This window comes from Homo sapiens, chromosome Y (assembly GCF_000001405.40).
Source record: "Homo sapiens chromosome Y, GRCh38.p14 Primary Assembly".
Taxonomy (NCBI): domain Eukaryota; kingdom Metazoa; phylum Chordata; class Mammalia; order Primates; family Hominidae; genus Homo; species Homo sapiens.
Genome location: NC_000024.10, coordinates 9,490,833 through 9,516,288, shown reverse-complemented (window position 1 = coordinate 9,516,288; position 25,456 = coordinate 9,490,833). Strand labels below are relative to the sequence as shown.

The window sequence follows — 25,456 nt, the reverse complement described above, 5'->3', positions numbered from 1 at the left end:
GGAAGCAGCCCAGGGCTGGGGGTTGACAGGCCTGTGGGTCCTGGAGTTAGGACACACATAGAGAAGCCAAGGCTCAGGGAGGAGACTGCAGTAAGGAAACTCAGGCCATCATGGGCTGGTGGAGAAATGCCCATCAGGGAACTGTGGTACCCACATTTCACGATGGGGGAACCGTAATCTGCTTAATAGGCATAAGTAGCTAAGGTCAATGGGTGGGAAGCCAGGGTCAAGAGATAGCTGCCTCATCATCCCTTGCTAGCTACTTCCCTGTCCTGAGGCTTGCTTCTACCTGGGGTTCAGTTTGGGCTCAACCAGGGATCTCTCACCCTCCACACAGATGCCCACCTGAGGCCTCTCTAGGTCTGCGTCCTCCCAGAATGACTCTCCCAGGCCTGCTAAGTACCGTTTGGATGACACCACGCTCCACTGACATGCTTGGTTCCCTCCGCCATCCTCATTCACCCAGCAACTCCCCACCCCAAAAAAGGCAGGCCACCGCACAGGGAATCTGGAGGACCACACAGGGCTCACAGGGGAGGAAATGTGAAGAGATGGCAAAACAGAACAGGACATTCCGTGTGTTTCCAGAAGGCAATCTGGCTGGATATTAAGGCCCACCTCAGTATTGGTGAGGACACCCAGTGTCTCTTGGCCCTGAGCATGTGCACACAAACACGCACATTGTCTAAACGGCATTGACATCACTACTACCTGAGTCATCCTCAGATTCTATACAACCCCTTTAAAAATATCAATGACACATTCTTCTTAGAAAACAATCTGGGAATCCCAAATTTGCTATGAAATGGCAGAAGATCCTGAAAACCCAGAGCAATCCAGTAAAAAGCACAAAGCTGGAGCCACCCCACTACCTAACTTCATGATATACTACTACAAAACTTTTTGTACCAAAATACAATAGCACTGGCAGAAAAGCAGAGACTAGAGCTTAGGAAAAACAACAGGAGCCCAGAACTAAGTCACTGCATTTGCAGCTCACAGCCTTTTCCCAAAGAAGCAAGAACGCCCAATGCAAAATCAAGTATCTTCTATAAACTAGGTTGGGGAAATCTGAATAGCCACACAAAGGATTTTACAAGTGGATTATTTATCACCAAACTCCAGTGTCAGATGTGAAACGATAAAAATAGCAGAAGAGATCACAAGGAAGAAGCTCCATGGCGTCCGTGTGTGCAATGATGGTCTCAAAGTGACTGCAAGAACACAGTAAACACCATCAAAAATAGAGAATGGAATCATATCAAACTAAAGTGCTTCACCACACCATAGAAAACTCAACATACAGAAGGGGCATCCTACAGGATGGGAGCAATGATTGGATCACCATACATCTGTTCATGGGGGAATAGTCACAGTACATAAGGAACTCCCAACAACTCAATAGCATGAAAACAAATGGGCGAAGGCTGCGAAGACTCATTTGTGAAACTGAGACATACAGTTGCCCAGAAGACACACTAAAAATTCCTCATTATCCCCAATCCATCACGAAAATGCAAATCAAAAACACAATGAGATTTCTTCTCACTTCAGTCAGAATGCATATTATCCGAAAGACAAACAAACAAAAAAAAAAAAAGAAAGAAAAGAAAACCCTAATCTCTGGTGAGGAGGCAGAGAAAACGAATTCCCTGCTCACTTTTGGGGAGAATGTAAATTAGTGCTGGCATTAAAGAAGCTTTATGGCTCTTATTTAAGTATAAACAGCCTTCAGAAATCTACAAGTAGAACCACCCACTATATGATCCAGCAAATCAGAATACCCGGGCACGCCCGCCAGTACACAGATCAGTATGTTGAAGCGGTGCGCGCACCCATGCAATTATTGCTGCACTCATTACATTTTTGCTGTAGCCAAAATGCGGAAGCAACCTGAGAGTCCCTCCATTGATAAGTGGATTAAAAAATGGGGCAAAAACGCATATGCGCAACGGAAATATGCGCTGCAATAAGAAATCAGGAAATCCTGCCAGTTGTGAGAATGTGTGGGAATCTGCTGAATGTGTGCATGCCATTCTGTTAAGTGACATAAGCCAGGTATCAGAAAGGAAAGTAGCACATGATCTCATTCTTATATGAAATCAAAAAAGCGGACTTCACAGAAGTAGTGACTCCAATGACTGCGGTGAAGAGGGTGCACTGACGAGATGCTGGATGAAGAACTCATACTTCTAGTTATAAAGGAGGAATAGGTTAAAAATATTTTCTTCAGCATGCTCACTATAACTAGTGGTAACATATTCTTTCTCTAAAAATATTCGAATACAGTGCAGGTCAAGTTTTTTCACAACAAAAATGACAACTATGTGAGGTCACACATATGTTGATTGGCTGGATGTATCCAATGCATAATGTATATGACCTGTTGAACATCACGCCTTAAGTTGTAAATATGTATCATTTCATATGACATTTTTTAAACAAACATACAATTTTTAAAATGCCTTAACAAAATAAATGCAAATAAAATATTTTATTATAAAGCAGTGCTTTTCTTTTCTAGCAAAGTCTTTTTCATGACACAGGAAAGAATGCAAGCCGTTTCGTAACTTGAGAAATAAATACATATGTGTACATGTATATATATACGTATATACATGTATATACGTATATAAATGTGCATATATACGTATATACATGTATATACGTATATATGTGTGTACATAGGTATTCTTATATAGGTATATATATATATATATATATATATATATATATATATATATATGAAAATCCCAATGAATGCTGATGATGAGTTGAAAGATAGAAATTCCAGGCACAGAGACTATAGTCCATGAATTGAAACCTTCAGTGCATGTTTCAAAACAAGACGTGAGGAGGAGGAAGAAAAAAGCAAAAAACACAAAGCCATGGCAGGGCCATGGGTCACACCTGTCATCCCAGCACTTTGATAAGCTGAGGTGGGAGGATTGCCTGCACTCAGGAGTTCCAGATGAGCCTGGGGCAACATGGACCCACATTCAAAAAGTAAGTATTTAGTTAATTAATACATAGCTTGGAGGGGTGGCATGCACCTGTACTGCCAGGTGTGTGAGAGTCTGAGTTGACAGGATCACATGGGTGTGTGGTGCCTGGGCTGCAGTGGGCTGAGATCGTGGGGCTGCTGTCCAACCTAGAAGACAGAGTAAGACCCATTCTCGGAAAACAAACAAAAAAACAGTCACATTAGGTAAATTAAAACTATGTAGTGTGAGGAGAATCAAAATAAACGAAACATCATTAGAGCCTACGCGATGTGATGAAGGAAACCAGCTTTCACATAATAACAGCCCCGGCTGGGGAGAACAATGAGAAAGGGCAGAGAGAACCCTGTAAATAATACCACGCCAAATTCCCCAAATGAGTTAAAACACATAAAAGTACGAAGAGTGCTTCTTTTCAATTCAATGCCCTTGAATTCAGAATTAGAAAGTAAACCCAGATAGAGAATAGAAAGATAGACGATACAGATGGAGAGAGTGTGGTGGGGAAGCAAGGGAAGGATGAAAGGAGGGGTGTAAAGGAAGGAAAAGAAAAAAGGAAGGGAGAGAGAGTGACAGATGTTCAAAGACACAGATACAAAGTCTACAATGGTTGTAGAGATAGGCATGTGCAAATTGTCGCAGGGAGTGTGGAAAAATATCGGAACCACGGAGACACAGGTGGAGTCAGAGAAAATATACAAACCCGCACAGAGAAATAAACATATGCAACCACAAACACACACGTGCTACTTTAAACACGAAAAGACACCAAGTCCCTGTCGGTACAAATCACAGATGTGCTTCCGAGTTACTGAGGCACGGTGCAAATTTGTCAGTGCCCTTAGCATCTGTGGCCCACGTGCACGGATATTCAGTGGAAGAAGCATTACACAGCCTGTATAATTCAGCACGATCTGTGATAATACCAGAAGAAGGGATCTCATGTGAAATCACTAGACTGAATTGCACGTAGGATTCAAGCAAGAAGCCCAGTCTGCTGCATTCACTCGGTGGGGTGGCAATATGGCTGAGCACCAACCCGTGGCACGCCCATCCATCGTAGACAGTTCCTGGTTTGCTACCTGCCTTGGAAAAAGCTCCTCCCCTACCACCACTTTAAAACAGGCTAGCTCCAAAACTAGCCCTGGCATCTATTTACGGTCATTTTCTTATCTATTTACCTCCTAGAAAAAATCATTGCAAGACCCTTTCCTCAACATTTTCCTATGCCTTAAATTTGGGGCAACACGTTTTAAGACGACCTCGTTATAGGCAAGTCCCCAGACGTTTCCTAATCTGAGTTGCCCAGAGTGCACACACCAATCTGTTGCCCCATTGCCGCTATAGGGATACCGTACTGGACCACAGTGTCTTTGACATGCACACAGTAGGATAGAGGGCAGCTTGAGGGGGCCAAAGTGTTCCGACTGTTTTCAGAATAATTTGCTTAGAACACCTGTTTCTCCTGTGTTTGTGGGTCAGGGGGACGGTAGTCAGAGGAGGACAAGACTCCCGCTCCAGAGCTTCAGAGGTCTGCATAGGAGCAGGGACAAAACCGGGCGATAGATTTTCAAAGCTCAACTGCTTTGACACCGAGCAGGAGGGGTAGAATGCATATTGCAAGCACCACAACAGATTCAGGAACTTTGACTGTCAAACCCTCTTCCCTGAAACAACATAGCTCTTCTCACAGAAGCTGTGCTGACCAGAGTCTATACGGGACAGCAATGTTAGCACTCTAGTAGCGTGTGGTCAACATGGATGCTCGTGTTGGAACTGTTTCATCTGGGAACAGGAAAGAAAGTTCTGCCTCCGACACTGAAATCCTCCTGCCCCATCCTTGACAGAGGCAACCCCTTGTCTTGTGCAGACACACGTGTTCCTGGGAAGCAGCCTCCCACTCGCGAATGAAAGCTGTATGTTTTGTCCTCCTGTGTGAGGCTTGCAAAACATATTCCGCAACTATATTCGCTTTACGTTCTAAACCTTAGGCAAACTATGCTGAAGAGGCCACAGAAAATTTAGGGGCCCTGGGTCCAGATACAATCTGCAGTGCCAATCACGAGGGAGAATAGAGCCTCACTAGACTTTGCAAGAGCACAAAATGCACTCGTACTGTTGTTAGCTACATACGTTATTGGCTCCTCACCTAACACAGAATCTTGGAGAAAAGCTTAAAACAACTAAAGATGTAAACATCAACAAGAGTGTCCATATCCTGGGTCATCAAGTGACAAGAGAGTCCATGGATGGATTCTCCAACAATCTTATATTCCACTAATCCACCCCCTTTCCCCTCACTTCTGTAAGTTTCTGTTTTCCCTTAGTCATCTCTGCCAAAAGCGTATCCTGAATGCCTTCCCACATGCCTCTGTCACCTTTCCCACAGTCCCTCCATACACCTTACATGCCCATTTCTTCTCACGTTGATGTTTCAGAAGTCCTGAGAGGCTGATTGTCCCAGAAAAGGATCATGCATTCACCTTTAAAAGAACATGTGGATTCAACACGAAAGCGAACTTTAAGATTTCCATCATCCTGTGCTTAGCTACTGTGTATGATGATACCCAAAATGAAGGATTTTGGAGGTCCCAGCAAACTGGGCCCTGGAAACCCAGTAACCCCTTTCCTTGAACTATCTCTGCTTCCATAGGACGAAGTCAGCCTCCAACTAAGCTGTCTTTTGCTTTTACCTCTCCCACTCTGTCCTGTAGGAAGAATCCCAACACATCCCACACCCATTCACTCTACAACTTTAGAGGCCCAGCTCCAACGCAGACTGGTTATTTCCATGAAGAGAATAAAGCACGTGGATTGATCAATTCATTATGACACCCGAATAAAGTGGATAAACATACACACACAGACACACACACACACAAACACAAAGACACACACACACACACAGACACAGAGTCACACATCCTTGAGAATGTTTATTTTTCATTCCATACAATCCACATTTACCCCCTCTTCCTGAATTTTTGTGACTCGATCTCTTTTTCCTTTAGTTCCTGTGCATAAGACCATGCTGAGTACTGCCGTCCTGCATATGGCTGTAACTTTTTAGGAGTTCTGCTGTATTAGGTAAAATCTGATGCTCCATCATATTCAACTCAACAACTGGGAGTCCCCTAGAGAAACACAAACTCATGTTAAAACGCATTTTCTCTGAGCCATACTTTGAAATGTTTCAATTGTGGGGCCCGCTGAGAAAAGGATATCCCTTCCCCATTTGTGATCCCTTAAACTTCCTCCTACCACGTGTTACAAACTGTTCTGCGCAATCCCTGCCCCATTCCCAGTATTGTCTGTGAGGGGAGTCAGCTAACAAGATGCACTGGGCCCTAAAAGCACACACAAGTCTGATGGGGCAACAGCTTAAGGAAATCCATCAATCTAAACAGTCCTTTGTGGTTTGGGGCAAGGATGACCAGGACGCACATTCAGGGAGCCCAATCTCATGGGGTTGGTGGGATGACTGCCGGTGGGGTTGACAGCCGTGGAATCAAGTGCCACAGACTGAACTGAATGATTTTCAGCTTTACTTCTCATTGATTCTGGAAATGGACGATTCTTCACTGGGCTTAAGACTCCACAGCTATCACCCGCTTTGCAGTGCAGTCTCTAACGTGCCTTTTCAGCCCAATGCCATGAACGTCCTGGATTCTGTCACTCTCTGTCTTCCTCTCAAGGAATTTCTACATGTACGAAAGGAGCCTCAATTTCTACATTTCTGAAATGAGCACCCAGGCTCCCTGAATAGGCAGGTGTGTCAACCCCCTTATACTGGGCATCAAACAGCTCCAGTGCCAACTAACGGCTCACCTGACGTCTCTGTTCCCTCTTCAGGTGGCTTCATCCTCTTGTAGTATTGCAGGGGATTGCGCCACAGGTCCTTACATAGGATCTGTCAGGGGACTCAATCGGGAAAGGCCTCATCAGGGCTCAGAAAGGTGACCCAAGCAGCTGGGAACACACGGGGTCATTCCTCATGTTTCCCAGTGAGGACTCACCTCAGCAATCTTGTTAGATCCTGCGAAGTTGTGGTCAGAGAACCAGTTGAAGAAGTTAAGGCTGCTGTTGTGGTGTCTGCGGCGATAGGCCTCCACTTCATAATCCGGATACCACTCAATTGGAGTGGAATGAGAAGCCCTGTATTCTACAGAGACAGGAGTTTTTGTGGGAAGGGGGCTGGATCCCGTTGGCAATGATCCACCCACCATCTTCCTTCCACTACCCATCCTGGGAGCCACCTGTCACCTGTGATGTTCACCAGATATTCCTTGGTAATCACTTTATTCTGGAAGTAGGGGTTACTCCGAAAGAACAACATGATCTTGCAGAGATGAACAGGATGCTTCTCTTCTTCCACCTGTCAGGACAAGGTGGAGAAAGCTTAGATAGGTTTTCGGGTGAGGTGCTCACTCTTGCTTACAGGAATGAATTATTTCCCTTACCCTCCCCCGCTAAACCCTCTAGCCCCAGTCTTCCTGGCCTCACCTCCAGGCTGACCATGTAGCTCAGCATGTCTTCATCTTCGTCAGTGATCAGGGCTGACATCTGGGGGTGGTTTGCAATCTGATTTAGGTCAAAGAGACTTTACACACGATGGAAGGGAAAGCGAGGAGCAACAGGGAAGAAGGCCTAAGAGCACCCAGAGGCTGGGGTAGGGGATTTCTCAGATCTGCTTCCATGTATGATCTCCTTTCGCCTCCCCGTCCCCGTAAACTAAGGCCTCCTGTGTTCACAGAGGGTGTATGATTCTGAGGCTGACTGCACTGACATGGGGAGGCGCGATTTGCAGAGACTTGCTGGTGTCTGAGGAGTGGCAGAATCTGCTTATAGCCGAAGACGCCCAGTCCCAGATCGGACTAGCAAGGGGCAGCAATCACACTCCCTTAAAAATAGCTTCATTCACTGAAAAACCTCTTCCGCTCTGAACTCGCTTCTGCTCTTCAAAAAGATGCCCCAAACGTCTGCTGCTCGGCATCACCAAGGGTTTCTCTGCCGCATGCAGGACAATAGTACCCACGCCTGCTCCGGCTTTCCACAGCCACACTGGTCCGTGGCAACTCCCCTTTGTTCCCCAAAGAGTCACATCGACGCCGAGCTGCCCATCGGTCACTTACACTTCCCCGAGAGCACCTCTCCACTAGAAAGGCCGAAGAAACACTGAGAAGGATACAACATTGGCCCAGAAGCCAGGGACGCTCTGGATGACGGCGCCTCTGCGGTCTAGCTGGGGCTTGCGCCTCCGCTCCATCTTTTCCCGCTGCCGAGAAAAGGCCTTCCTGGCTTGGGCATTAACCGGCTCCAGCTCCACCTGAACGGCCAGCAGCTCCTCCAGTGCAGACTCTGGGGTCATGGGCCCAGGGCCAGGCACAGCCTGCTGTCGCGCTGGGCCTCCTCCCGCCGCTCCACGAGGCCCTCCTCCTCCGCCACCACCTCCACCTCCGCCACCACCTCCACCTCCGCCATTATGTCATCCAACAGCAGCACCGCCTCCTCCCCCAAAGCCGCCTGCTCACTCTCCACCCCGGCCGCCCCCTCCTGTACAGCCTCCATCCTGAAGGCGGTGCCCTCCTTGGCACTCGCACACACCAAGGCCTGTGCTGCCCGACCCACGCCACAGAAACCCTGCCGCAGCCTCTCTGGCACCCGGTAGGTCAGCGAGCCCTCAGGGCGCATGCGCCGGGCTTCCAGGCGCCCCCTAAGGGACTGCGCGCGAAGGGCCGGGGGGCCGCACCCAGGCCGACTTCCTCCCGTCGTGGCCAGTCAATGGGAGGGCGGTGGGCGTCTCCCTGGGCGGCACAGCCACTGGCGGGCCTGCATCTCCAGCCCCCCCACCCCCCGCCTTCCCTGCCCAAGCCTCCTCCGAGAAGCCCTTGGAGCTTGTGCCGGGTAGCTAGGCATCCGGGCACACGCGGGCTGCGTGGCCTTTGGAATTGTGGGCATGGCAGCCCTGTGCCCTGAAATCCTCAGTGTGGCAAGCCATGAACATCTCTATGTGTCATGAACACAGGAAACATCTCTCTTCGTTAGGCAGGCCAGGTAGATGGTACGGAGGTAATACAGCAGATGCAGAGAACTCTCTCTGGTTGCTGGGGCTAGGGCGGCAGGGGTGTCCTGGGGGAAGTGATCGGGGCGGGCACGTGGGAGGAAAGTCGCCTGCCGGTGCTGAGGTGGAATTGATCTGCTGTAGAGGCCAGAGCCCCGGCACACACTCTCACAGGTCGAGGCAAATAGAGGCTCCGAGTACCATGCTTCCTCCCTGAGGATGCTGTACTCCAAGGAGCATTCCAAAGGGCCTCTTGCCCTATGCCCTGGGCACACCAGAGGCCAGCCGCCAGGGTTGGCCATTGTCGGCCTGCGCGCACGCTGTTGTGCGCTGCCTTGACGACCCAGAGGCTCCCGCACCCGCAGCAGCGGTTGCGGTGCCTGTTGGTGGGGCTCTGCAAGCCCAGGGCCGGGGCCTCTGGCTCCCGAGCTCCTGTGCGCAGTTGGGCCTGCTGGGGACCGGAGCCCTTTGGCCAGTGCGGGATCTGCGGGTCCAGCGGAGCTCCTCAGGAAACCTGGGTCCACGTAGGTGTGGGACCAGGTTCACAGCAGGGCGACGCCCGTGGGTCTTGCAGGGAGCGGGTCTGCTGGGGAGCGGGCCCCCAGAGCCTACGGGTGCGGGGCATGGGCTGGGCTGGGCTGGGCTGCGCAGGCCCAGGGTCTGTGGGAGCACCCAGGAGAAAACCGTGTTCAGGCTGGAGGCAATGCTGGAGAGGACGGCCGGGGTACAGAGCAAGGAGGCGGCCTTGGAAGAGGAGGCGGTGCTGAAGGTGGAAGACATCATGGCTGAGGTGGAGGTGGTGGTTGAGGTGGAGCCCGACGTGGGGTGGCAGAAGGAGGGCCAGCGGCACAGCCTGGCCCTGGACCGAGCACACCGGGGCCGTCAATGGACTCGCTGGAGGTCCTTCACTTGGAGCTGGGCTCCGTGAATGCCCCAGGCCACAGAGCATCTCCGCCTTGTGAGCCAGAGCCATATCCTTGCGGCTGCCGATTTGGGATGGCGGGCAGCAGGGGATAGTCATCGGGCCTCGGGGGGTATGGGGGCTGTTTGGGGGGAGGAGCCAGGTGGGAGGCACGTGGGGTCAGCCAGGAGGCAGGGGATGGGGGACAGCGTGGGAGCCGAGGCCACGTTCCCGCAGCTGTGAGGGCAGCTCGCTTGTAGCAGCCCTGGGAGCACGTGGTAGGGAAGGGGAGCCAGGGCCAGCACTGACAAGGGAGAATCGCGGCGCCAAGGTCCCTTTGCGCACAGCCCAAATTCGAAGGACGCGTTTCCCTGGGAACGTCCCTGGAGGACGGGGAATCTGTATGCCATTACCAGCCATTGAACCACCCCTGCTCTCGGTGCCTGTTTCCAGCAGGCTCACCCCAGAAACACAAGGTGCTTAAGACGGGTTCGCGGCGCATGGGGCTGCCGACCACCTGACGGCGGGCACCAGCTCCGCAGATGCGCATTCATCCAACTGCAGGCGCTGCACTCAAAGGCGTGTAGGCCCTGAGCCTGTATAACTTCCTCTGGACCCACGCAATTCCCTTGGAGAGCGCCAGGCACGACCCTGCTGTGGCTTCTAACTACAAGGCTTCCCTCAGGTGGACAGGCCCACCCCTCAGGGAGACTAGGATAAGAGGACACCACACACCCGGACATCAGCGGAGCATGTCCAGCACCCAGCACACAAAGGCCTCCTGCATCTCAGAAACTCAGAGAAGCAGCCGCCTCACACCACCCCCGGTCCCTCCCGTCCCTCAGCTGCAACCACCTGCCCACTTTTTCTGCCTCCCGTCTCTGGTCAGCCCAGGCCGTCTTGGCCGGGGTCCACCCACTCCAAAAACCACCACAGTTGTGGCGTTGCTCCTCGCCAGACAGAGATAGAGGGCCAACAATGAAGGGTGACTGGCCAAATGTCTGGGAGATGGCCCTGTTCCACATTGTCTGTGTTCTTGCGAAATTGCAAGGCGTCACGAGGCTTGCCACCCAATCCTCTGGAGAGTTCTTGCGCAGAGGTAGATTGTTTGGCACACGAGATGTCGGCGTGGGTCGGAAAGCATGCGGAAGTCCTGCTTTGCTACGTGATGGATTTGCAGGTCAGGCTGGGGAGCTGGGTCTGTGGGAGGAGTCCAGTGTCTGAGTCAGTTTGAGGTCCCCCTGGGGACCAGGGTTGTCTCAGTGGGAGAGCTGGGAAGGGGAAACTCATGGTTCACTACAGCTAGTAGGCCACCTCAGCCCAGCTAGTTGAGATGGTCCCATTGAATCCATCCTCTTTCTCCTTGATCCGGCAGGTGGAGGAACTCAGCCATCCCGGTTACCGGTGGCAGGATGATTTCCTTTCATCCCAACCTTTATTTCCACAGTGAAATCATCATGAAGGAGCACTGTGTTGGCATCCTCGGTAAGGAATGCCTCCCAGCATGGTAGGGGAGCTGGTGTGTGGGAGGGTGGGACTGGCATGAACCTTCCTGACTCCTCTCCCTGCAGGCTACAGGGTGTCTCATTCCACTGCAGTCCAGCGGTTCTGGGATCACGAAGGTCAAGCCTCCAGCTGCAGGCAGTACACCTCCTACCTGAGCTCATTCAGCTGTTTGGCTGAACATGACTGCCCGGGTTTTGGCAGGATTGCTGAGGTGGGGTTCGCCATGGGGCATCATGGGAAAGGACCTAGCTGGTCATTCCTTGGTCTCTGGGGAATTGGCTTTGAACTGTCACCTGAACTGTCCTGGACCCACTTCTGCAGTCCCCTAGATCATCAGCCAGGGCCTATGGCTCAATCCATTGCAGTTCTATCCCATGGAGAGAGGGTCAGCCCTAGAGGCGGAACAGAGAGGAGGCCAGGCGAGCAGCCTAGGGCTGGGAAGGGCTGGGAACTGAGAGGCCTTTTGACCTGGATCTGGGCCCCACATGGAGAACCCAAGGATCCGGGAGGAGACTGCAGTGAGCAATCCCAGGCAATCCGTGGGTTGGGGGAGAGAGGCCCATCAGGGACATGTAACACCCACATTTCAGGATCGGGGCACCTTAAGCCACTATGATGCATATGTGGCTAAAGTCAGTGGGTGACAAGCAGGGCTTAAGGGATAGCTGTCTCATCATTACTCGCCAGCTCCCTGCCCTGCGGTAAGACCTGCTACCACCTGGGGCTCATTTTGAGATCAACCAGGGCCCCCTTTTTCTCCACGAGGATGTCCACCTGAGGCCCACCTAGGTCTGTGTCCTTTCACAGTGTTTCTCCCAGGCCAGTCATGTTTTGTTTCCATGACCCCGGCTGCCTTGACATGTGTAATCCTCTCTGCCATCCTCACTCCCGCTGCCCTGCCTTCCCATATAAGTTAGTCCACCTCACACGGAATCTGGAGGACCACACTGGGCTCCAGTGTGAGGCAATGTTTTATTTTCTTCAGGTACATGTATTTTAGGGCTACCTCCAGGGCTGGGAATGTGAAGAGATTGCCAAATGGCTGGGGACCTTCAGTGTGTGTCCAGGGAGGGAACCTGGCTGGGAATTAAGGCCCACCTGAGTAATGGTATGGACATCCAGTGTCAGTTATCTTGATAAAGGCCTGCTTTCTTACATCACCTACTATTAATATAAAAGTTAATTCCTTAGAATATTGAAAAAACAAATCTATGTATGAAGAAATATAATTTGTTCATAATTGTATGGAAAAAACTGCCGACTGATCCATTTTCCATTACAATTCTTATGGGAGACTTGAAGTGTTCAGCAAGTTTTAAGATGCATTTCTATTCGTCTACTCCTGCCAGTTTTTATGATCATTTTTGTAATACAAGGACATGGCCTCTGGAAAGTTTTTGAGGGACTTTCAGCTTCTTTTAGGGTAGATACTTGTAAATTTTGAATTGTTTTCCCCTGCGGTTCTTTTGAGGTTACTCTTCGTACTTTCTTTGGGGGGTGTTAAATTTGTTTTCTTGTTTCGCCCTTGTGGAACTTTCGTTTTCAAGGAATTGTGTGTGTGTGTGTGTGTGTGTGTGTGTGTGTGTGTGTGTGTGTTAGATATGGGAGTTAGCCTGTGAGCATGTTTTCGAATACGGATTTTTTTTTTACTTATCAATTTTGGGGGTGTGTGTGTGTGTGTGTGTGTGTGTGTGTTTGTTTCTTTTCAGTTGGAGTCTCACTGTGTCATCCAGGCTGCAGTCAAGTGGCAAACTCTCAGATCACTGCAACCTCTCCCTCCAGCTTCAAAGGATTCCTCTGCCTGCTGATGCTGTTTTTCCCCCACATGAGGAGAACATGCAGACAGTTATAAAAAATTCTGTGCCTGGGTAGGTATGAAAATATAATTTCAATGAATGGTAAATTTCACAAATACAGTTTCACATTTGTATTTTGCAACATTTTGAAAATTTTAGTTGCTGACACATGAAATTCTGTGTTGACTTTCATGTTAAATGTACACTTTTGAATCAATTTCAACAGTGACAACTAGCGAAGGCCAAGCGTTCGTTCAGGAAGCTGAAAGCAGTCGTTCTGTAAAAAAAAACGATATTTATTGAAGGTATATTTAGAGAGATTTTAGAAGGCTTCAGTCAATATTTTTGTTTCTGTTGCTCTGGTGTTTTATCATACAGGGACCAGACTGTAGCATCAGTAGCTATAGTTACAAGGCTACCAAAGGCTCAGTGCTATAGAAATTATTATTGTGGAAATTGGCAGCCTGGCTGTCTGTTTGAGGAGACTAGAGGACTTAGGAGTTTCCACCCAAAGTACAAGGGCCTGGTTTAGTGGGTGGCCTTCTTTTGCTGAAGTAGATAAGATCCAGGAGAAGGGTGGATTCACTGTAGTAGCCAGGGCTTTGAGACTGGTAAAGCTTATTTGTCTCCTAGTGCCATTGCCAGATATTGGTCTGTGCATAAAGGCACTTCCCGGACTCGCTGACTCCTGTAAATTCAAATGTAGAATTTAGATTTAAATCCCTATTCCAACTTCTTAAACTTAGATCTAATAGGTGGGTAATAAAATATGTATTCAGAAGAAAGGGAGACGTCAGGTAGGTATATAAGCAAATCATCCTGGTCAAATACCTTCAAAAATATTACTACAAAAAATTACTGAAGATTAAACCTTAAAAAAGTTATTTTAATTGGAGAAACAGAAAAAGGTTGGAGTCATTTTAAACCCTGAGGTGTAAAGGTACTGTTATTAGATTACAGGAATTATATACAATGAATAATTTGTGGGAAGAGCAGCATACTATCTCTTTAGTATGGCTAGAGATTCATAAGCCGTGTAAGAAAACTCAGAGATTGAGAAGAAAATGTTTTCAGGGATTTTGTTCTGTTATGAAAGACTTTTAAAATGGTTTCCTACTGATCAATGATTCACTTATATTTATCACTGAGGCATATGCTATATACCCTTCTATATAGGGATGAAGTTATAGTTTCTATCATGTAGATACAAAAACATGTGACTCTGTACCACATTTGCATTAGAGCCTTTGGCATGATTAATGAAGCAAACGGTGGAACTGTCTACGTCAGGTTACAGGTGGGCACAGCTGGAAGCTTCCGTCCCTTGCACTTTAACATTTCTGCATTCTCATCTGTCTCTCCTGGAAAGAAAACGGACTATAACTATCCTAAAGGACATATGTTACATGAAGACACTAAGTATTGAGATAAGACCATGAGTTGTCTTATCAGTGTCTTGGCATTACATTTATATGTATAACTTATACAAAAAATCCAGTTTATTTTATCACGATTACATATTACATCCCACATTTATGTATTTTATTATCTTTCCAGTGACTGTTTTGTTTTGTTTTGTTTTGTTTTGTTTTGAAATCTCGTTCCACTCTGTCACTCAGTCTGGAATGCAGTGGCCTGATCTCAGCTCACTGCAACCTCCATCTCTTGGGTTCAAGGATTTTAAAAATTAGTAAAGAATTTTCAATTGAGTTAGCAGAAGTAAAAATAAACTTAAGTGGAAATAGAACAACAAAATTGTAAACACTATTTCTCAGCAATTCATAGATTATCATACTAGGAATTGAAATGTACTTAGAACTCAATGATACCGCCAATATTAAAGATTAAATCTGTGAGTAGCAAGAAAAGTGATATTACAATAGGAGTTTACAGACAAATATTTCTCTAATAACTTGAAAATTAATGTACTAGATATTTCAATAAAGAATTAGAAAAGAAACAACAGAATCAATTCTGAAAAACTAAAGTGTGGGAATAATGATGTAGACAAAATTAGTAAAACATACAAAGCTAACCTTTGCTTGTTGGAGAAATATAATAAATGATGCAACCGTCAGTCAAGTTTAGAAAAAAAGGGAGAAAACATAGATAAAACTAAGAATTTAAAAGGTACACAACCATAGATACAGCATAGATTAAGAAGCTAATAAGGAAATATCATTAACACCTTAACCTACAAATTTGAAAACTTAGATCAAATAGACAGATATTTATAATCTGTCTCTATATATAGACATATATATCGCTTTCTATATATATTTTCATATTTATACATAATTTTTATATTTGTATCTTACATTTATATATATAATATATAAACATAAGCTATGTATATAGCTTAGTAAAATTGATACAAGAAGACATATATAATCTGTATAGTCTCATAAATGTCCAAGGAAATAAAGGATTCTTCCTAGAGATAAAACGCTAGGCTCAGATTTTTTTCCCCAGGCAGAGCATTTCAATATATATGAAGAATTCTATAGAATAAAAAAGGGAAAATCCTAAACTCATTGTGTGAAGCAAGCAGAACTTTGACGCCAACAAGACATAAACTGAGTGTAGAAAAAGATATGAAAATTAAGGCCATTCTCATTCCTGAAGCAAATCGTAAAATCCCAAATGTAACAAGATTTATGTGGATTCTTTGAGGGTTAGAAGGAAATTTCCTTCTGCCAGATCCTGCTACTCTGGGACAACCCACACACAAATTTATGTTTTGAGATTTTCTGTAATACCCATGCAATATGGAACTGGCTTGACAATCTGTGTGATAGCCAGCCTGTGGCCATGACTTCTCAGGGACACAAATCTTTTCTGTTTGCCTCCTTGTTCTGCTCAGCTCCAAGAGAACTTTGACCAAAGTTCCTTGAGCTTGGAAATAGGAATGGGTTTGCTTCTGTTTCACCCTTACTGTGAAGATACAGTCCGGTGGAATCCAGATCCACTGGGAGAGAGTCGGCTATTAAACTCTTTTCATGAGTAGTCCCTAGGCCTTGACTGGAGTCTTTCTTGAGATATGAGGCTAATAGTTCCTTCTTGGTCCACCACTTTTTGATATAATTAATGCTTCTTCTATTGGGAATTTTTAATTGTTTGGGAAGTGACATGGTTTGGTGTGTCTCCATTCAAATCTCAGCTTCAATTGTATCTCCCAGAATTCCCTCGTGTTGCGGGTGGGACCCAGGGGGAGGTAATTGAATCATGGGGGTCGGTCTTTCTCATGCTATTCTTGTGACAGTGAAGAAGTCTCACGGGATCTGATGGGTTTTTCAGGGGTTTCTGCCTCAGGTTCTTCCTCATTCTCTCTTGGCATTGCCATGTAAGAAGTGCCTTTATTCGTATACCATGATTCTGAGGCCTCCACAGCCATGTGGAACTGTCAGTCCAATTAAACCTCCTTTTATTCCCAGTTTCAGGTATCTCTTCTTCAGCAGCGTGAAAATGAACTAAGACAGGAGGTTTGGTCCAAATAACCTTGGCTTCCATGATAGAAGATAGAAGTTGCTGAAATGTTTAATCTTTTCTGTGGCAACCTTTTGCAGTGGGTCTTATTTTTCTCATTTTTTTTTCTTGTTCTCTTCACCTTTGTTTCTCACAGGGTACTCTCGCTCTGTAGACCAGGCTGGAGCGCAGTGGCAGGATCTCAGCTCAACACATCCTCCGCCTCCCAGGTTCAGCCTCTGCAGTAGCTGGGATTACAAGCATGCATCACCACGCTCAGCTAATGTTTTGTATTTTTAGTAGAAGCCAGGCTTCACCATGTTGGCCAGGCTGCTCTCCTACTACAGATCTCAGGTGACCCGCCCGACTCAGCTTCCCAAAATCCAAAGTGCTGGGAATACAGGTGTGAGCCACCGAGCCCAGCCAACTCCAGTATTTTTTACCTAAGCCAGTGGACGAGTGGAGTTGCCTTTATTTTTTTTTTCATGGTCTCGCTGTGTCATCCAGGCTGGAGTGCAGTAGTCTGATCTCGGCTTACTATACAATCTCTGCCACCCATGTTCAGGTGGTTCTCCTACCTCAGCCTCCCAAGTAGCTGGGACCACAGGAAAGTGCCACTAGGTCTGGCTAATTTTTGTATTTTTGGTAGAGACAGCTTTTTGCCATGTTGCCCATGCTGGTCTCCAACTCCTGACCTCAAGTGACCCACCAACCTCGGCCTCCCAAAATGTAGAAATTACAACAAGAGCCACGAAGCCTGGCCTGGAGTTGTGGCTTTTTGACATAAGAAATCTGTGGAGGGAAAAGCTTGGTTTGTGGGAGCACCTGAGCTCAGTTTGGCTCAAAGGTTTGGGATACCTATTATTGAGTGGCAGTGATGGTATGTTGTTAATGTACAATATCTTCCTGTATATAGCATACGTCTATGCTCATCAGATATTTTCAGGTAAAAAAAGATAGTCTTTCCAGTAGTTTGAGCCATTATAGCAATTTCCACCAGGGGATTTCAAAGTCCAATTCCAGTTGTGGGCAACAGTGATTAACATAATGGTAATTAATGAGAAGAGATTTTGAGACGTCCAGCCACGTTTCCATGTCAGTGCCTTGTTTGCAGTATTATGAAGAAAGAGTGCATTGGACTAGATACTAAGAAAAACATTGAATTATTTTTCTTGCCTCTATAACATCAAAGGACAATTAGAGATATAGAAACTATGGAACATTTCACAGCATGGCTTGACATTTCACTGAACTTTTATCCTTTTAACCATGTACAAAGTTTGTTACCTATGCAAAGGTAGGACTGCAAAAGGAAGACAGAGGTGGAGTCAGAGGTCACAATCCACAGCAAGGTGACACTCTTGTTGATCGCACCTTGAAAGCCAAATTAGAGCGAGAATTAACTTTCCGGTTGCCGTAAGAGAACAAGGAGAATGAAGCTACCAGCAGTTAACAGTATTGGATTAATTGAAATGAAGGTGGACAGAGTTTTTTGGCTTTCCATCAAATTGAGTAAAGAAAAGGTAACCGCTTATCTAATTTCACACACATACAATTATGGATTAATTAAAAGATTACACAACCCATATATTATGGGTTTCTCATATAAGTGTATATATACATGGGCAAACTCACAGTGTGCCAGTATGTGTCTATATCCAAATATATACAAATCCATGTCCAACAGTTAGCAAGTGAGAAATTCTCTTCCATTTCACCATTCCCTTTCCTAGAATTTTTTCATAAATATAATTTTTCCATATATTTGAAGCCTACTCTCTGGAGGCATGTAATGCATGCATGCAGTAAACCTGTGCGATATCACAATGTTGGTGTCAGAGAAAACTATAACACCGATGTTATAAAAGATTAATTGTGAGGAGAAAGTTATGCTTCGCATTACTACAAATACACAAGTATGATTTCATCCAAAGCTGAAATCAGTCAATATAATTTGTTTTTAATGTTTTATTTAAAATCCTTAATTTCAACAGGATTACTCAAGAAAAATAACGTTATTGGTATTAAATAATGTTGACGTATTCCCTTTAATTGTTGATTATTTAAAATGTCAGTAAAATAGTAAATGGCACTGTACAATGTAGTTTCATGAAGCATTCTTTATAGTTTTCATAAAATTGATAGTCTCCATGGAATATTTTAAGACTGAGGAAGTTCCATATATCATTTGATTGTACTTTCACTTTATTACTTGCTTGCATGTCATAACTGATGGAAATAAAACTATGTATATTTACAAATATGAAAAACATGGACTTTTGTTTACGTTTTCTAGTGAGACACAGTTACCAATAATTTTATCTATATAGGAAAATTTTTACAAACCCAAAGTTCTAATGTTTCTTTTCTTTGAAGTTTCGTATTTCAGTCTAGGTATGTAATGGAATTGGCTGTGATCATTCTTTGATTTCACTGTTATTTGTGAGTTTCTGATATGCTTTTAGGAATGTATAGAGCTTAACGCTTGCTTTCTTCTTCTTCCTCTACCTTTGGACCTGTATATGCGATGTCTGCAGTAATGTGCAGTGCTATCTGACATACGGTTGCTGAAAGATACAAGCATATATAGAATTCTTCGTTTCAGTGAATCTTTAGGAACAGACAAGTAACCTGAGAGATAATTACGGTATGAATGTAAGCAAGCAGTTTATCATAGAGGTACAATAAGGGTGAAAATAAATTTAAAAATACATGCCTCATCCAAAACATGAGGTAGTAAAAATGAAAAATTTAAGTTGGCATAAAGAACACTTTAAAAGTTCTGATTCTTTCTGGTGAGAGCAAGGAGCTCAGAAACCATGAGAAAGTCCTTCAAAGCTGCATGTTGGATTTGCAGGTCAGGATGGAAAGCCTGGGTCTGGGGGAGGGTGCTAAGGTCCTGGTCAGGTTGAGGTCCTTCTGGGGCTCAGGTGTGTCTCAGCGGGAAAGCTGGGAAGGGGAAACGCATGCTTCACCCCGGCTAGAATGCCACCTCAGCCCACCTAGATGAAATTGCCCCTTCACAGCCCTGTTTCTCCTTCTTGGACAGGCAGGTGGAGGAACTCGGCCACCCTGAATACAAGGGGTAGGAAGAAGTTTGCCTTTCATCACAACATTTACTTCGGAAACAAAGTGACGACTAAGGAGTATTGCGTTGGCATCCTCCCTGAGGAGTAGAGGGGGTAGTACCTCGGGAGCTGGGCCTGGCGTGCGCCTTCCTGACTCGTCTCCCTCCAGGATACAGGGCGACTGGCTCCACTGCAGTCCAGTGGTTCTAGGGTCATGCAGGTGAAAGCCCGAGTTTCCCGCAGGTCACTGCCTGAGCTTCTTCAGCTGGTTGTCTGACTGTGAGGGCCCAGGTTACGGCACGATTGCTGAGGTGGGGCAGCTATGGGGCATCATGGCAAAGGACCTTCTTCGACATTCCTTGGCATCGGAGGAATTGGCTTTGAACCAGAACCTGACCTGTCACGACCAATTTGCCCAGTCCACCAGATCATCAGCCAGGGCCTGTGGCTCTATATTCTGCAGCACTACCCAAGGGAGTTAGGCCCTCAGAGAGGGAACAGAGAAGAGGCCAGGGAAGCAGCCCAGGGCTGGGGGTTGACAGGCCTGTGGGTCCTGGAGTTAGGACACACATAGAGAAGCCAAGGCTCAGGGAGGAGACTGCAGTAAGGAAACTCAGGCCATCATGGGCTGGTGGAGAAATGCCCATCAGGGAACTGTGGTACCCACATTTCACGATGGGGGAACCGTAATCTGCTTAATAGGCACAAGTAGCTAAGGTCAATGGGTGGGAAGCCAGGGTCAAGAGATAGCTCCCTCATCATCCCTTGCTAGCTACTTCCCTGTCCTGAGGCTTGCTTCTACCTGGGGTTCAGTTTGGGCTCAACCAGGGATCTCTCACCCTCCACACAGATGCCCACCTGAGGCCTCTCTAGGTCTGCGTCCTCCCAGAATGACTCTCCCAGGCCTGCTAAGTACCGTTTGGATGACACCACGCTCCACTGACATACTTGGTTCCCTCCGCCATCCTCATTCACCCAGCAACTCCCCACCCCAAAAAAGGCAGGCCACCGCACAGGGAATCTGGAGGACCACACAGGGCTCACAGGGGAGGAAATGTGAAGAGATGGCAAAACAGAACAGGACATTCCGTGTGTTTCCAGAAGGCAATCTGGCTGGATATTAAGGCCCACCTCAGTATTGGTGAGGACACCCAGTGTCTCTTGGCCCTGAGCTTGTGCACACAAACACGCACATTGTCTAAACGGCATTGACATCACTACTACCTGAGTCATCCTCAGATTCTATACAACCCCTGTAAAAATATCAATGACACATTCTTCTTAGAAAAACAATCTGGGAATCCCAAATTTGCTATGAAATGGCAGAAGATCCTGAAAACCCAGAGCAATCCAGTAAAAAGCACAAAGCTGGAGCCACCACACTACCTAACTTCATGATATACTACTACAAAACTTTTTGTACCAAAATACAATAGCACTGGCAGAAAAGCAGAGACTAGAGCTTAGGAAAAACAACAGGAGCCCAGAACTAAGTCACTGCATTTGCAGCTCACAGCCTTTTCCCAAAGAAGCAAGAACGCCCAATGCAAAATCAAGTATCTTCTATAAACTAGGTTGGGGAAATCTGAATAGCCACACAAAGGATTTTACAAGTGGATTATTTATCACCAAACTCCAGTGTCAGATGTGAAACGATAAAAATAGCAGAAGAGATCACAAGGAAGAAGCTCCATGGCGTCCGTGTGTGCAATGATGGTCTCAAAGTGACTGCAAGAACACAGTAAACACCATCAAAAATAGAGAATGGAATCATATCAAACTAAAGTGCTTCACCACACCATAGAAAACTCAACATACAGAAGGGGCATCCTACAGGATGGGAGCAATGATTGGATCACCATACATCTGTTCATGGGGGAATAGTCACAGTACATAAGGAACTCCCAACAACTCAATAGCATGAAAACAAATGGGCGAAGGCTGCGAAGACTCATTTGTGAAACTGAGACATACAGTTGCCCAGAAGACACACTAAAAATTCCTCATTATCCCCAATCCATCACGAAAATGCAAATCAAAAACACAATGAGATTTCTTCTCACTTCAGTCAGAATGCATATTATCCGAAAGACAAACAAACAAAAAAAAAAAAGAAAGAAAAGAAAACCCTAATCTCTGGTGAGGAGGCAGAGAAAACGAATTCCCTGCTCACTTTTGGGGAGAATGTAAATTAGTGCTGGCATTAAAGAAGCTTTATGGCTCTTATTTAAGTATAAACAGCCTTCAGAAATCTACAAGTAGAACCACCCACTATATGATCCAGCAAATCAGAATACCCGGGCACGCCCGCCAGTACACAGATCAGTATGTTGAAGCGGTGCGCGCACCCATGCAATTATTGCTGCACTCATTACATTTTTGCTGTAGCCAAAATGCGGAAGCAACCTGAGTGTCCCTCCATTGATAAGTGGATTAAAAAATGGGGCAAAAACGCATATGCGCAACGGAAATATGCGCTGCAATGAGAAATCAGGAAATCCTGCCAGTTGTGAGAATGTGTGGGAATCTGCTGAATGTGTGCATGCCATTCTGTTAAGTGACATAAGCCAGGTATCAGAAAGGAAAATAGCACATGATCTCATTCTTATATGAAATCAAAAAAGCGGACTTCACAGAAGTAGTGACTCCAATGACTGCGGTGAAGAGGGTGCACTGACGAGATGCTGGATGAAGAACTCATACTTCTAGTTATAAAGGAGGAATAGGTTAAAAATATTTTCTTCAGCATGCTCACTATAACTAGTGGTAACATATTCTTTCTCTAAAAATATTCGAATACAGTGCAGGTCAAGTTTTTTCACAACAAAAATGACAACTATGTGAGGTCACACATATGTTGATTGGCTGGATGTATCCAATGCATAATGTATATGACCTGTTGAACATCACGCCTTAAGTTGTAAATATGTATCATTTCATATGACATTTTTTAAACAAACATACAATTTTTAAAATGCCTTAACAAAATAAATGCAAATAAAATATTTTATTATAAAGCAGTGCTTTTCTTTTCTAGCAAAGTCTTTTTCATGACACAGGAAAGAATGCAAGCCGTTTCGTAACTTGAGAAATAAATACATATGTGTACATGTATATATATACGTATATACATGTATATACGTATATAAATGTGCATATATACGTATATACATGTATATACGTATATATGTGTGTACATAGGTATTCTTATATAGGTGTATATATATATGAAAATCCCAATGAATGCTGATGATGAGTTGAAAGATAGAAATTCCAGGCACAGAGGCTATAGTCCATGAATTGAAACCTTCAGTGCATGTTTCAAAACAAGACGTGAGGAGGAGGAAGAAAAAAGCAAAAAACACAAAGCCATGGCAGGGCCATGGTCACACCTGTCATCCCAGCACTTTGATAAGCTGAGGTGGGAGGATTGCCTGCACTCAGGAGTTCCAGATGAGCCTGGGGCAACATGGACCCACATTCAAAAAGTAAGTATTTAGTTAATTAATACATAGCTTGGAGGGGTGGCATGCACCTGTACTGCCAGGTGTGTGAGAGTCTGAGTTGACAGGATCACATGGGTGTGTGGTGCCTGGGCTGCAGTGGGCTGAGATCGTGGGGCTGCTGTCCAACCTAGAAGACAGAGTAAGACCCATTCTCGGAAAACAAACAAAAAAACAGTCACATTAGGTAAATTAAAACTATGTAGTGTGAGGAGAATCAAAATAAACGAAACATCATTAGAGCCTACGCGATGTGATGAAGGAAACCAGCTTTCACATAATAACAGCCCCGGCTGGGGAGAACAATGAGAAAGGGCAGAGAGAACCCTGTAAATAATACCACGCCAAATTCCCCAAATGAGTTAAAACACATAAAAGTACGAAGAGTGCTTCTTTTCAATTCAATGCCCTTGAATTCAGAATTAGAAAGTAAACCCAGATAGAGAATAGAAACATAGACGATACAGATGGAGAGAGTGTGGTGGGGAAGCAAGGGAAGGATGAAAGGAGGGGTGTAAAGGAAGGAAAAGAAAAAAGGAAGGGAGAGAGAGTGACAGATGTTCAAAGACACAGATACAAAGTCTACAATGGTTGTAGAGATAGGCATGTGCAAATTGTCGCAGGGAGTGTGGAAAAATATCGGAACCACGGAGACATAGGTGGAGTCAGAGAAAATATACAAACCCGCACAGAGAAATAAACATACGCAACCACAAACACACACGTGCTACTGTAAACACGAAAAGACACCAAGTCCCTGTCGGTACAAATCACAGATGTGCTTCCGAGTTACTGAGGCACGGTGCAAATTTGTCAGTGCCCTTAGCATCTGTGGCCCACGTGCACGGATATTCAGTGGAAGAAGCATTACACAGCCTGTATAATTCAGCACGATCTGTGATAATACCAGAAGAAGGGATCTCATGTGAAATCACTAGACTGAATTGCACGTAGGATTCAAGCAAGAAGCCCAGTCTGCTGCATCGACTCCGTGGGGTGGCAATATGGCTGAGCCACCAACCCATGGCACGCCCATCCATCGTAGACAGTTCCTGGTTTGCTACCTGCCTTGGAAAAACCTCCTCCCCTACCACCACTTTAAAAAAGGCTAGCTCCAAAACTAGCCCTGGCATCTATTTACGGTCATTTTCTTATCTATTTACCTCCTAGAAAAATCATTGCAAGACCCTTTCCTCAACATTTTCCTATGCCTTAAATTTGGGGCAACACGTTTTAAGACGACCTCGTTATAGGCAAGTCCCCAGACGTTTCCTAATCTGAGTTGCCCAGAGTGCACACACCAATCTGTTGCCCCATTGCCGCTATAGGGATACCGTACTGGACCACAGTGTCTTTGACATGCACACAGTAGGATAGAGGGCAGCTTGAGGGGGCCAAAGTGTTCCGACTGTTTTCAGAATAATTTGCTTAGAACACCTGTTTCTCCTGTGTTTGTGGGTCAGGGGGACGGTAGTCAGAGGAGGACAAGACTCCCGCTCCAGAGCTTCAGAGGTCTGCATAGGAGCAGGGACAAAACCAGGCGATAGATTTTCAAAGCTCAACTGCTTTGACACCGAGCAGGAGGGGTAGAATGCATATTGCAGGCACCACAACAGATTCAGGAACTTTGACTGTCAAACCCTCTTCCCTGAAACAACATAGCTCTTCTCACAGAAGCTGTGCTGACCAGAGTCTATACGGGACAGCAATGTTAGCACTCTAGTAGCGTGTGGTCAACATGGATGCTCGTGTTGGAACTGTTTCATCTGGGAACAGGAAAGAAAGTTCTGCCTCCGACACTGAAATCCTCCTGCCCCATCCTTGACAGAGGCAACCCCTTGTCTTGTGCAGACACACGTGTTCCTGGGAAGCAGCCTCCCACTCGCGAATGAAAGCTGTATGTTTTGTCCTCCTGTGTGAGGCTTGCAAAACATATTCCGCAACTATATTCGCTTTACGTTCTAAACCTTAGGCAAACTATGCTGAAGAGGCCACAGAAAATTTAGGGGCCCTGGGCACCAGATACAATCTGCAGTGCCAATCACGAGGGAGAATAGAGCCTCACTAGACTTTGCAAGAGCACAAAATGCACTCGTACTGTTGTTAGCTACATACGTTATTGGCTCCTCACCTAACACAGAATCTTGGAGAAAA

The 25,456-nt window shown here is 45.9% G+C and overlaps 1 long non-coding RNA gene and 1 pseudogene across 1 annotated transcript; one reads left to right on the top strand and one right to left on the bottom strand.

The window, feature by feature from the left end:
- TSPY6P (testis specific protein Y-linked 6, pseudogene) lies at nt 5,926-8,739 on the bottom strand (annotated as a pseudogene).
- Nucleotides 11,348-16,948, top strand: FAM197Y3 (family with sequence similarity 197 Y-linked member 3). The gene is made up of 4 exons (NR_145461.1): nt 11,348-11,449; nt 11,536-11,681; nt 13,180-13,338; nt 16,889-16,948. It is a non-coding gene; the product is annotated as a family with sequence similarity 197 Y-linked member 3 (long non-coding RNA).
- The last annotated feature ends 8,508 nt before the right edge of the window (nt 16,949-25,456 follow it).